This window comes from Homo sapiens, chromosome 17 (genome assembly GCF_000001405.40).
Source record: "Homo sapiens chromosome 17, GRCh38.p14 Primary Assembly".
NCBI classification, from domain to species: domain Eukaryota; kingdom Metazoa; phylum Chordata; class Mammalia; order Primates; family Hominidae; genus Homo; species Homo sapiens.
In genome coordinates, this window is record NC_000017.11 from 63,031,035 (window position 1) to 63,045,787 (window position 14,753).

A 14,753-nucleotide genomic window follows, 5' to 3' on the forward strand; every position below is an offset into this window, starting at 1 on the left:
CATGGTTCTTGACTGCAAAGCTGAGGACTGGGCCCCAAACTATAGGATTTTAGTATCAGAGGCCTGCCTGGGAAACCAACCAGCAGATCATCCCAGAAGATAGATTTCTATGATTGTTCTTGACCAGGGGAATTCTCTTCTGGAATAGGAGTGGATGGGAGATTTGCTCCTATTTAATTTCTTTCCTAAATGTATAATTTTAATGACATAAATCTTTTTTGTACCTGAAAGAGGTCAGGTTTTTCCAAACTCAAGTATTAGAAACATATTTGTCTACTTTTTTGTTGTCACCTTTCATCCTAACCACAGAAGGCTTGGCTGGGGAATGTTCTTTGGGAGAAAGAGAATATTGAAGAAAAAATGATTTTTTTCAAAGTAAAGCCTGGCTATACTATTTGCTTCAAAAATTTACATCACACTTCATGATCTTAGCTCTGGTATTATTCATATACTAGTCACTATAGTCACTTCTTTACTCAGAATATTGTGTTACTTTGCTGTTCTACTTTGTTTCCATTTTAAAAAATGGTCAGACCATTCAGTTTTCCTTTCTGTTAAGCTTCCAGTGGATTCATGCTCTAAGGATGAGGTATTATTAGATACTTCTTTCCTTCCTTTCTGTGTTATTTTTCCATCCCTGATTATAGGGTGAGCACTTAATGTGGACCAAGTAGAGTATTGGGGGACACAGCTTACTTAGAAATAAAAGAGATAGTCTTTGCCAGATTATACTGCCTGTAATAAATAAACCAGTATTACTAAAATATAGTATGAGAAGTATTGTGATGAACCTTCTACATGGAGTACTAAGGGAGTTCCAAGGGAAGGACTCAATCTCAGACTGGAGGGAAATGGAACAATTCTTGGAGGAGGTGGTGACTATCACCAAGCCTACATAGCAGTTAGCCACTTTGAGAAATGGGGAAGAGGATGTTTCAGGCACAGAGTACAGCAAGTGTAAAGACGAAGTTGTGAGAAAACTTGACACATTTTGTGAACTATATATAGGTAGTTTGGTACTGTGGTGGTTCACTCCCATTTCTTATATCTATTTCTTTCTGCATATCTATTTCATTCTCTTGCAACCTTGCACATTTGTTTTAGTTCAAATAGTAGAACATAGCTACCAACAACTGAGTTTTGTATGTTATAGTCCAGGCACCCAGAGAAGGATACTGATTCAGTTCTTTTGTTTTCACATCCATAAGCTCATGGGTAGGTCAACTCCGGTCTTATTTAGGTCTGGTGTCCACCCTTTGACAAGTCAGTTACACTTTGGACTAGGGTGTGGCTGAGGTTTGTGATCATCTCAGCTTGGGTTAGCTGCCTATCCCAGTGCAAATCATCTATGGTAGAGGGAGGGAGTAAATTAGTATGGGAGTGAGAGTTTTTAAAGGGCACTTCCCAGAAAGGGGCGTATGTGACTCTGAGTAGGCAAAATGACATGCCATCTGTAGGAGCTATTGCAGCAGCATCCAGGCAAGAGATAATGAGGGTCTGAACTAAGAGCCTGGTGGTGGTATGGAGAAAAGAATCGACTGAACTACATGATTGATTGGGTGTAGGTCAAATGAAGGAAGAGCCTTAGTCTTACTTTTTAATTTACTTAACAAAAATACTTATCAAGTGCTTGCTAGAGCTACTGGAGATACAGCAGTGCTATATATCAGATCACTAAAAGAACAACTTGTTCTATACTCACACATTCTGACACCAGATGTGTTCCATTAAACAATTCTCCAACTCTTCCAAAACCAACTGAGTATCCTACAATTTAATTCTGATGACTAGGAGTTAGTTAGACCCCACAGGTTGAGGACTAGTCCCACAAGACGCCCCCCACTTAGACACTAATTGCCAAGTCTAGACCCTTGTACTTCTTCTGACCTACAAGCTATAATTTCTAGGTGCCCATGGCTCCCTCCTTGGGTTCAGTAATTTGTCAGAACAGCTCACAGAAATCAGGAAGACACTTAACATTTGCCAGTTTATTATAAAGGATATTACAGAGAATCTATATGAACAGCCAGATGAAGAAGTACATAGGATAAGATCTGAGCATGGGAACTCTGCTCCTGTGGAATTGGGGTGCCCCACTCTCCTGACATGAGGTTCACTGACCCAGCAGCTCTGTCAACCCCATTGTTTAGAGTTTTTATGGAAGCTTCATTATGTAGGCATGATTGATGAAATCATTGGCCATTGGTGATTGAGCTCAATCTCCAGTCCTTTTCCGTTCCCCAGAAGTTGGGGTGGGTGGAGCTGAAAGTTTCCCCTGATTTGATGATTGGTTCCTCTGGCAGTCATCCCCCATCCTGAAGCTATTCTGGGGCTTTCAGCCACCAGTAATCTCATTAACATACAAAAAGACACTCTTATCTCTCCTGGTAGTAAAATACCAAGGCTCTTAGTAGCTCTTGTGTCTATTACTGGGTGACTGAGATCAAATATTATAATAAAAGATGCCCTTATCATCCCAACACTATAAGCGTTTGAGGAAACTATAAGGGTTTTAGAAGCTCTGTGTCAGGAACTGGGGGTGGGAGGCAGAACCAAATAGATGTTTCCTATGTCATAATGATATAACTAAACTTACATTCAAGGACAACACCATGTTTATAAAGGAAGTTTCTGGGTTAAGTGACTGGGTGAATGATGGTGCTCTTCATTTGAGGTTTGGGAGGAAATGTAATGAATTCATTTTATGAAATGTGAAATTTGAGGTGATGATGGGTTATCCAGGGGATGTTAGATATTTGGGTTATGGACCCACAGGAGAAGGCAGAGGAAGAGAGAGAGAATTGGAAGTCATGACCATCCAGTGGTAATTGAAGTTTTTAAAAACTATAAAGTCGAATTTACTTTTTTATTTTGGTGTTCGGTTTTATGAATTTTCACACATGTGTAAATGTGTGTAGCTACCACCACAATTAGCATACATCACCTTACAGGTTACATCATGATATTCGTTTCTGGTCACTCTCTTCCCCCGTCCTTCACCTGGGAAACCAATGAGCTATGAAGATGGTTACACTAAACAACAGATTTTCAATGTAGATGAAACAGCTTTGTATGGGAAGAAGATGCCATCTAGGACTTTGTTGCTAGAGAGAAGTCAGTGCCTGGGTTCCAAGCTTTGAAGGACAGGCTGACTCTCTTGTTAGGGGCTAATGCAGCTGGTGACTTTAAATTGAAGCCAGTACTCGTTTACCATTTCCAGAATTCTAGGGTCCTAAAGAATGATGCTAAATATACTCTACCTGTGCTCTATAAATGGAACAATAAAGCCTGGATGACAGCATGTCTGTTTATAGCATGGCTTACTAAATATTTTAGGCCCACCGTTGAGATCTACTGCACAGTGCTCTGATGGAAACATTCAAGGAGATTAATGTTATTCTCATGCCTGCGAACACAACATTTATTCTTCAGCCATGGATCAAGGAGTAAATTTTGACTTTTAAGTCATATTATTTAAGAAATACATTTTTCAAGGCTATAGCTGCCATAGATAGTGATTCCTCTGATGGATCTAGGCAAAGTGAATGGAAATTCTGGAAAGGATTCACCATTCTAGATGCCATTAAGAACATTTATGATTCATGGGAGGAGGTCAAAATGTCAACATTAACAGAAGTTTGGAAGAAGTTGATTCCAACCCTCATGGATAGCTTTGAAGACTTCATTGGAGGAAGTAACTGTCGATGTGTGGGAATGGTAAGAGAACTAGGATTCGAAATACAGCCTGAAGATGCACTGAATTGCAGTAATCTCATGATAAAACTTGAATGGATGAGAAGTTACTTACAGATGTGCAGAGAAAGTGGTTTCTTGAGATGGAATCTGTGTCTGGTGAAGATGCTGTGAACATTGTTGAAATGACAGCAAATAATTTAGAATATTTCATAAACCTAGTTGATAAAACAGTGCCAGGGTTTGAAAGGATTGACTTCAATTTGAAAGAAATTCTACTGAGTAAAATGCCATCAAATATAGTATCATTTGCTACAGAGAAATCTTTCATGAAAGGAAAAGTTATTTGATGTGGCAAACTTCATTTGTTGTCTTATTTTAAGAAATTGTCACAGCCACACCAACCTTCAGAAACTACCCCCCGATCAGTCAGCATCCATCAACATAGAGAAAGACCCTCCACCAGCAAAAAGATCCCAACTTGCTGAAGGCTCAGATGATAACATTTTTTAGCAAGAGAATATTTTTAAATGAAGTTATATACATTTCTTTTTAGATATAATGCTATTACAAACATAATACAAAGTTAATAGATTATAGTGTATCATAAACATAACTTTTGTCTGCACTGGGCAAACAAGAAATTTGTGTGACTCGCTTTATTGCGATCTTCATTTTCTTGCAGTGGTCTGGAACGGAACCAGCAAAATCTCTGAGGTATGCCTGTGTATGACCTTTGAAGACTGACTTCTTTCACTTGGCATAATGCCTTTGAGATTCATCTGAGTTGTTGTGTCAAAAAGTACTAGCGAGTGTTCCTTTTTATTGCTGAATGGTATGCCATTGTATGGATGTATTGTTTGCTCATTTATTCACCCACTGAAGACCATTTGGATTATTTCCAATTTTAGGTGATTATGAATAGAGCCACTATAAACATTCATATATGGGTTTTTGTGTGAACATAAGTTTTCGTATCTGTAGGGCTGATGCCTAAGAAGTAGGATTGTTGGATCATGTGGTAGTATATGTTTAACTACACAAGGAACTGCCAAGCAGTTTTCCAGAGTAGCTGTACCCTTTTCATTCCCACCAGCAACATATAAGAGTTCCAAATGCTCCACCCACTTGGTAGCACTTGATATTGTCAATTGTAAAAAATTTTAGCTATTCTGTGTGTAGTGGTATTTCATTGTGGTTTTAATTTGCATTTCTCTGATGGCTAATGAACGTCTTTTCATGTGCTTGTCTTCCGTGTATCCTGTGTGGTGAAGTGTCATCAGATCTTTTGCCCATTTTTTATTTGGTTGTTTGTTTTCTCATTGGTGTATTTTAAGAGTTCATTGTGTGCTCTGTGTACAAGTCTTCTGTTGGATATGTGTTTTGCTTGCTTTGTTTATTCTCTTAACAGTGTTTGATAAAGTTCATTTTTCTTTTTTTAATGGTTCATGTTTTTGCTATCATATTTAAAAACTCTTTGGCTAATCACAAGTCATAAAGATTTCTCCTGTGTTTCTTCTGAAAGTTTTATATTTAGATGTATGATTTATTGTTTTTTATATAAAGTGTGAGGTTAAGGTTGATGTGTTTGTTTGTTTTTGTAGGGTTGTGTAATTGTTCTAACACCATTGTTGAAAAGACTACACTTTCTCCTTTGAATAGCTTTTGCACTGTTGTTAAAAATCAATTGACTGTATTTATTTAGATGTATTTCTGCACTGTCTGTTCTGTTAACTGATCTCTTTGTATTCTTTTGCCAGTACTGCACTGTCTTGATTACTGTAGCTTTAGAGTAAGTCTTAAAATAGGGTAGTATAATTCCTCCAACTTTGTTCTTTTTCAAAATTGTCGTAGCTATTTTAGATCCTTTGCTTTTCTATATAAATTTTAGAATCATCTTGTCTATCTATAAAAAGATCCTTCTGGGATTTGGGGTGGAATTACATTAAATCTATAGATCAACTGGGATAGAACATTTTTTCCATGTGGGATCTTCTTTTAGTACATGAACATGTTATGTCTTTCCATTTGTTTAGTTCTTCCTTGATATTTTTCATCAGCATTTGGTAGTTTCCAGCATATAGATCTTGTACATGTTTCATTAGACTTACATGTAAGTTTTTTTTTTTTTTTTTTGAGCTAGTGGTACAATAGTGCCCTCTTGTCCAGAGGGGATACACACCACAGCCCCCAGTAGATTCCTGAAACTATGGATAACACCGAACCCTATATGTACTTATGTCTTTTTTTACACATACATAGGTACCTATGATAAAGTTTAATTTATAAATTACGCATAGTAAGATATTCACAACAATAACAATAGTAAAATAGAACAATTATTATAACAATATATTATAGCAAATATAAATGTGGTCTTTTCTCGCAAAATATCTTATTGTACTTTATTCATCCTTCTTGATGTGATCTGTTGATCTGATAACTAAGATCACTACTAAGCATATCCAAACGACTAACGGGCATGTAGGGTATACAGCATGGATATGCCAGAAGTTACTAACGGCAGGTACAGTATACAGCAGTAGATATGCTGGAAGGGATGATTTACATCCTGAGCAGGATGGCTTGAGATTTTATCACACTACTCAGTATGGGGTGTAATTTAAAACTTATGAATTGGTAATTTCTGGGATTTTCCATTTAATATTTTCTGACCGTAGTTAACTGTGGGTAACTGAAACCATAGAAAGAGAAATCACAGATAAGGGGGTGGGTGGACTCTTGTTTTTAAAATTTTGGTTTCTTATTGTACATTGCTTATATTTAAAACATATATATATATAGGCTGGGTGCGGTGGCTCACCCTTGTAATCTCAGCACTTTAGGAGGCTGAGGCAGGCGGATTACCTGAGGTCAGGAGTTCAAGACCAGCCTGGCCAACATGGTAAAACCCTGTCTCTACGAAAAATACAAAAATTAGCCAGGCATGCTGGCGGGCACCTGTAATCCCAGCTACTCGGGAGTCTGAGGCAGGAGAATCACTTGAACCTGGGAGGTGGAGGTTGCAGTGAGCCAAGATTGTGCCACTGTGTTCCAGCTGGGCGGCAGACCGAGACTCCATCTCAAAAAATAAAATAAAACATAAGTATATGATTTTTTTTTTACTTTGTATCCTATGACTTTGCTAAACTAACTTATTAGTTCTAATCGATGTTTTTTGTTTTTGTTTTTTAGTAGATTCCTTTGAATCTTTTAAGTGGACAATAATGTCTTTTGATAATAGGGAGAGTTTTATTTGTTCCTTTCCAGTATGTATGCTCTTTATTCTTTTTCTCATTTTATGGCACTGGCCAGCACTTCTAGTACAATGATGGCTAAGAGTCGGGGGAGTGGTATTCTTGCCTTGTTTCCTGAGCGTTGGCTGGGGGGAAACATTGCTTTTCACCAATAAATATGATGCTAGCTGTAGATATTTTATGGATGTTCTTTATCAAGTTGAAGTAGTTCCCCTGTATTCCTAGTTTTCTAGTTTTCTTCAAGTGCTAATTTTTTAAAAAAATACTTTTTCTCTGATCAAGTAATAAGATCATATGAGTTTTCTTCTTTGAACCGTTAGTATGGTAGATTGCATTGAATGATTTTCAAATACTAAACTAGTCTAGCATTTCCAGGATAAACCCCACCTACTCATAGTTTGTTGTTCTTTTTCTACATTACTGTATTTTATTTTCTAATATTTTGTTGAGGATCTTTGTTTCTATGTACATAAAGGGATTTTGGTGTGTAGTTTTCTTTTTTTGGTAATGTCTTTATCTGGTTTGACATTCGAGTAATTCCGTCCTCATAAAATGAATTGGGAGTATTTTCTGCTCTTCTGTTTTCTGGAAGAAATTGTAGAATTTGTTATTTCTTTAAATGTTTGGTAGAATTCACCTGTTTAGTTATTTGGGCTTGGATATTTCTTTTTCATAATTTTTTTTTAAACTATAGACTTTATGTAATAGTTATAGCAATATACAGGTTACTGTTTAATCTTGAGTGAGTTTCAGTAGTTATTAAGTGTTTACTAAAAAGGTGTATTTAAAAGACCAGGCTGTGCTATAGAATAACTTTATGACCTTGGGAAAGGTACTTTAGCCTTAACCTCTCTGTCCTTAATTTGTTAATCTGAAAAATCAAAGTTTTAGATTTGTCTTTTTAAAGGTTTCTTCCAATTTTTTAATTCTAGTGGATAAGAGTGTATGTGTTTGAAGTTTATGTGAAAGGACTGTGACCCTCTGTTTCTTGTTTTATCTGTCGTTTATTGAGTGAGCATTGATTTATTTAGATTCACTTTGCCTTTTATCAGATAAGTTCCATATTTCCTCCTAATAAATGAATTATTTGTTGATGAAAGGTATGGGAGGAAGGCCTGTTTATGCATTTATACATGATATGGTATGTAAAAAATTACTTTCATAAGCTATTTATGTGAGAAAATTAAGACATATCGTGTTAGTCTTTAATGTTAAATTTTCTTGAAAAAATTATCAGTTTAGAATTTTAGAAATGTTAGAAATACATTTCTCTTTTGGTGATTGTCCTTCTGAATCTTCATGATTAAAAAATTCATTTATTTTTGGCTACTTAATAGAGACAATGTCTATATAAGTATTTTTTGCAAAATCATCTGGCATACTCTTGTGCATTCTGTCCTTTTGTTGGATTAAAGCAAAGTGAAAGTAGCATACAGATTTACTGCTGAAAGAAACATTAAGTTGCAGGCTGCAGCTGGAGGATTTTACGTAGGCACCTGTGGGTTTGAGTGCGTTCAATATACAGACTGCAGTAGGAGGCTGGCACTGACTCTGCTGACTCCAGTACACTCCTTCACTGCTGTTCTGACAATTTCTCCACTGTCCAGAAGACAAACAAAATGGTGCAGCACGTACAGGGCTTGGGAAAAAGATAACCGTCAATATGATCCAGAGGTGAGTTTGCTACAGTGAACAGGAGAGAAAATTGTTAACAAGATAAAAGCCTTGGATGTGGTTCAGTATGTCAGATGTCTTCAGCTGTTTTAATATTTGATTCTGGCCAGTAAGGATGAAACTGTTGTAGTTCTAAAATCTTCATGCCCTCTATATAAAGAGGTTCAGGTATATTGCATTTATAGCATTACTAGATGCATGCATGGTAGTTTATAAACATTTATATTTATACTAAACATGTGTAATGTGTGTGTCTATATAGATAGGTGTTTGTGAAGGTTATATCTATTAATACTGGATTTTTAAAAAGTAAGCACTTTTAGTTTTTATATTTTCTCTGTTGTACATTTGTTGCAGCTCCTGCCAATGTCTCTTTCCCTATATTGTTCATTTTATAATAGCAGAAAACATTAGTAGCGCACTCTGTGGTGAGATATGGAAAATCAGTAGAATGAACCTTGGAGTTGGCACTTCATATTTTATTGATGACTGTAATGCAGTGTGAGTTCGCATTGCACATAGTCTTGATTTAAATGATTACCTCTTTTATGAAAGCAAAATGTTTGTAAGAACGGCCATGTTGTAGACAGGGAGCATAAAATAAAGGAGAGGAAGTAGGACAAGTAACATTTCTCTGTCCTTGGTTTCTTGAACAATGTTCAGCATTGACTCAAGGCACTGTCATTTCAGAAGTACAGTATAGAAACAATTGAGCATCAAGCATAGATGAAACATGGAGGCTTAGTTTCCCACCCCCTCCAAAAGAAGCACTTTACTTATGTACTCACATATTTTCGGTTTCTGTGGCTGTGTTACTGGGTAGCTGTCCAGTTGAGACGAGATGTTTACTTAAGCCACACCCAGCAGAGTCAGCTTTTAATGTGTTGGGGGCACTATTTTAATCCTGTGCTGATTTGTAACCATCATCTATGGGATGCCTTTGAGTTGTAAAAAGAGGGAAAATACTAGATTCACAGGTTGCAGCTTACTATGTTTTTGAATATTTGAGTTGCTGTATTAATAGCACAGAAGAGCAGTATTTAAGTTATGCAGCATTTATCTATGGCAGAGAGAGATAGAGAATATGTGTATGGTTCCATTACAAGTGTAATGCAAGTATTCTGATCATATAGCTAAAAATGCTGCTGGTATATTATTTTAGTTAGTGTTGTGGGTAGTAAATTGGAGTATGACATTCAGAGTTCAGATTTTCTTATTTGAGAAAATATTTGTCCAAACATTTTAAATACTTAATTTTTCTGTGCTTTTAAAAGATTTGCAAAGGATTCAGCCTGAGCTTAGAAATGTATAATGTTTTATTCCATGCTAAAGACATTTTGTATGTGATAAGAATTAACAACTGTATGGCTGGCTGGCTGCCACTGTGTTGGATTACCTTACCCACCTTACTGTAGACAAAAATAATAAGGATTCAGCACTAATCCTAGTAGTCTCCATAGTACTCATATTGTATATTTTCAGAAACTCCTTTTTTATAGCCAAAGCAAAGTGTTCTCCCCAAAAAGAAAAAAAAATTAAAAACAAATCTCTCATTTGTACTATATTTCTTTGATTTTATCGAATAACACAAAAGAGTAATGTGAGATTTTTTATGTCAAGTTTAGTGACAGTAACTAACTACAGATTGAAATATACTATATTATTGAAATGTTTCATGGATCTAAAATGTTATATAATCCTGATGGAATGTTGCAGATGAAACAAAGAAATCTGATTGGTTCCTCACAAGATACAGCAGCCTCGAAATCCATTCTAACTAGAGGCTTCTACAGCAGCCTGGGTGGTTAGTATCACATAAAAACAAAAATGCCTCGGAGATGGGAAGGGGTTTGGAAGAGAAAATGAAGTCGCTAAAGCACTTCAGTAATCTTAATCATTGAACATTTTTTTTCAGCTTCTCTTTTTATTTTTATTTTTTGCTTTGCTTGTTGTTGCTTAAAGGGAGTGTTATATTCAATCGAGTTAATGAACTTTCTAAGTAGTATTCTGTAATGAACTAGAAGAGTCTCTCTAAAAAGAGTTTTATGTTAACTGATAGACTGGGTTAATGAATAACATAATTTCAGAACACTTATGAAATATGAATGAGTGGGACTTGTTGGGGGAAGGAGATGGATGAGATGGAAAAGAGCTCTGAAGAGCAGGACACTCATAGTAACTCTTTGGTCCCACCCTTTCCCATCATATTAAAATTGCATTAGATAATTTGTCATCTAAGACTTTAGTGATGCTTGGTGAGGGCACATTGTTATTGACACGCAAACAGCAGGATGCTGCAAGTCAGAACAGGTGGAAAATTGTTTGCTGTCTGCTAGCTATTAGAAATACCCTTGAGATGTGAGAATAATGTATGTTAGCTTTTACGTATTTATTATTCTTGGCTAGATAGTCTGCTGGAATATAGTTGCAAATTATAGTACCAAATATTCAACCCTTCTGTGCGTTTACAGAAAATATTTAAAATATGCCTGTAGTTTATTCTACTAAAATTTGAAAATTCTTATATTTAAATGGTAATAGGTCAAATTCAGTTATAGGATCTGGGGGAGGGAAAGTTACTGTGAGCAGGAATGAGCATTTACATTAAAAGAATGAATAATATTGAAAGGAAGTAAAGCATCATAAAATAAAGCATATTAAAGAAAATATATATAGATATGTCCTGATAAAAGTCAACTATATTTTGTAGTTTCTGTTCTGTGCTTATTTTCTAAATTATCCAATATGCTAATAGAGTCAGGCTGAAGGCAGCTGGCTGCAAGTGTTACAAGCTGAAAACAAAATGGCTGGCAAGGATTACTACTGTAAATTTGCAATAGAGAGCTGGATGCATTTAAGATATCTTTTGTTGAAAGAGTGTTAAAAAGTAAGATGATGAGGGAATGACTGTTGTATAAGCTGTTTTTGACAATAAACATTGTATTAAAAAATACTCGATTACAGCATGAAAACAAAAGGCTTTACATTCATTTTCAACTAAGCAATAAAAAACTCTTGTTAGTATTTATTTAGCCATCATTGTCTTTGTAATTTTAAGACCTAAGTAGTTTCTGAGGGTATTGTTTATGAATCGTTCAGATTCACAGTGTGGTTAAGGGTAGAAGAAATTAACAGTGAAGAATTTGTTACATTCTTGGAATGGGGAGGTGGAATTGAGAGCTAAGTTTCTGGGAGTTTTATATATTTTTTAATCTTCTAGACTAGCCTACATTAAGGATGGAAGACATAGAGTAACTGGAAAACTTAGAGATAAAAATGAAAATATAGTTTACAAAGTAACAACATCCATAGATCTGTATTTTATTTTTTTCTATTGAAGACCTGTTCATAAAACTATTTGTATTTTAGAAAAGACTTTTCTTTGTATAACCATAACCTATTTCAATTGATTTTTAGCAATTGTTGAAAGATTACATGACATGAAAATTGTTGATAGGCTTGGTTAGATTGAGAAATAGCTTCAGCAATTAATTAGTTAAGTAGATTGAAGACAGCACATACATTCACGTATCTTGTCTCTCACATTGTAAAGTCTATGTACTTTAAGAGGGCAAAAGTGTAAATATGTTATTGCCACTTCTCTAGCACATAGTATAATGCCCCATCACTTAATGGGTTCTCAGTAATTGATGTACAGATAATAATCACAAACATGTTTGATTAGTATTCACACACACATATACGCATATAAACCCATACATAATTATAAACCCATATACATACATATATAAACCCATACATAATGATGCTGATTTAATTTTCACAACCTTGTGGAATAAATTCTATCATTTTACTCATTTAACAGATGAAAAAACTGAGGCAGAGAGCAAGAAGTTAAGTGACTTGACCAAAGTCATATAGTAAATGGTGGAGTCGGGACTTGTACTCATGTACTTTGAACTCTTTCATCATCTTTTCCTCTAGTAATTGAAGATTAAGCTGTATTAGCATTCAACAGTATCTTTAGCCCTCAGAAGCATACATTATATGTATATTCTGGCAGAAACTGCAAAGCAGAGAAAACTTTTCTGCTACATCTTTCAAAATTGCTTTAACTGATGTTTTGTTTTCTAAAATCCCTTTTCAATCATTTAGATGTAGCTGATGGCCATTATCATCATCAGCTAATGCAGATGTACAGTTCTGAAAGCAATTTAAAAGCCCATAGCAGGTATATACAGGAAGCAGTTGGAAAAATATATTAAGTTTTCTGTACTCCCCAAAATGGCTGCCAACATCTATCAGTCATCAAGCCCAGTTGATTAAAACTTCTGTGTATTTCTGAACTTTGTCTTCTCTTTACTTCTTCATTCTCATTTCTTCAGAATCTCATGTCACTTAAATTATTGTGTCTCCAATCTCAGTACCCTTTAGTTCATTCTCTATTTTGCGTTAAGAATGAATTTTCTTAAATGTTCATCTGATTTTTCTAATATGTGCATTCCATTAGTTCTCCAAATAAAACATGGCTTGGTTTTTTACTGGTTCTCTTTGCTGTAACTGTATCCTAACACAGATGCACACAGATATAGATAATATATAGACCAGACAGATTTAGAATTTGATTTTAAAAGATTAATGTTTGAATCTCCTTTATCAGAGATGAAGATTATCAGTATAAATGTATCCATGAACGATTTTTGTTTAGTATTGTGTGTTTTAAAATATAATAGGTGGTATCATTTCCTCTATGTCATTCTGCAACTTGCTTTTTTGCTCTTGTTAGAAACTTAGTTTGTTTCTTTTATGTATTGTACAGTATGTTTCTTTTATGTATTGTATAGTATTCTATTTTATGAGCCCATTTCTTCCATCCATTTCCCTCCTAATATGAATTTGAATTTTCTGGTCTTTTTTGTGTGTGTGATCATAAATAATGTTCCAGTGAATATCCTTACCCACACATTAGTTTTTCTAGGAACTATACCTAGAAATGGACTTGCAAATGTAGGTTATTTGCATTATCACTTTTACTACATGATTTCATTACTTTGTCACTTTACCAATTTATATTCTTAGAAGTGTCTGAGAGTTTTTTCTTTTTCCTATCCAGTAGTCATATGGTCAGATTTCTTCCTTTTTCTCAGTCTGGTAGGAGAAAGGTAATGTCCTAGTGATTTAATTTGTTTCCTTAATTTATAGTGAGGTTGAACATCTTTTCATATGTTTTATAGGCCTTTAGAGTTCCTCATTTGTTAATAACCTCTTTATATCCTTTATGCATTTTTCTGTTGGATTATTTGTCTTTTTCTTATTGATTTATAGGAATTCTTTATGGATTCTGGGCAGGTTCAGCAAACTGTAGCCCATGGGCCAAATCCAGCCTGTGTGGCCTGTGAGCTAAGGATGGTTTTCCCATTTATTTTCCAATCATTCCGAAAAAAAATTAAAGGAGAATAAAATGTTGCAACCTATCAACATTACAAAAAATTCAAATCTCAGTGTTCTTGAATAGTTTTAGTGAGATACAGACGCACTCATTTATTTACATATTGTCTGTGCCTGCTTTTGCACCACAATGGCAGAGTTGAGTAGTCGTGACAGGGAGCATATGCTCTGCAAAGCCTAAAATATTTACTTTCTTTATAGAAAAAGTTTGCAGACCCATGTTTTAGATTGATCCTTAGCCTGTGACATTTATAACAGGTATCTTCTGTCAGTCTGTACACTGTCTTAAAACGTTCCCTTTGGTTTTAGGACGGAAACTCCAAACTTCTGTTAAATAGAAGTTTAAAATTTCAATTTATTCAAATCTATCATTCTTTTTTATACTACGTGTTATTTCAGGAATCTTTCTTTACTCAGAGACTACAAATATATTCTTCTATATTTGAAATAGTTTTGAAGTTTTGTTTTTCACTTCGATATTTTTAATACATTTGGATTTTTTTCCTTTTTTCTTATTGTTTTGGTAAGGGGATTATGGTATGAGAAAAGGGTCTAATCTTTTTTTCTCATGTGGAGAAAGCCAATTTTCCCCACCATATTTGTTGTTGAATACCCTTTTCTTACATCCAGTGATTTATCATCCCAGCTTTCTCATGTACTAAGAATCTGTTATATTTGCATATGAGTCTTTTCTGGGTTCTTTTATTCAGTTCTTTCCAT

General features: G+C 35.0%; 1 protein-coding gene across 20 annotated transcripts in view, besides 1 other annotated feature; it reads left to right on the forward strand.

Annotated features, from left to right (window-relative positions):
* TANC2 (tetratricopeptide repeat, ankyrin repeat and coiled-coil containing 2) overlaps positions 1-14,753 on the forward strand; it is a 461,469-nt gene that overhangs the window by 64,800 nt on the left and 381,916 nt on the right. The gene's annotated exons all lie outside the window — the stretch shown is intronic.
* Positions 13,922-14,423: an enhancer, noted in NCBI's record as "NANOG hESC enhancer chr17:61122317-61122818 (GRCh37/hg19 assembly coordinates)". NCBI's record gives its function as "activates a minimal SCP1, AML or CMV promoter by ChIP-STARR-seq in naive H9 embryonic stem cells {active_cell/tissue: H9 hESC(naive)}" and the evidence as "EXISTENCE:reporter gene assay evidence [ECO:0000049][PMID:30033119]".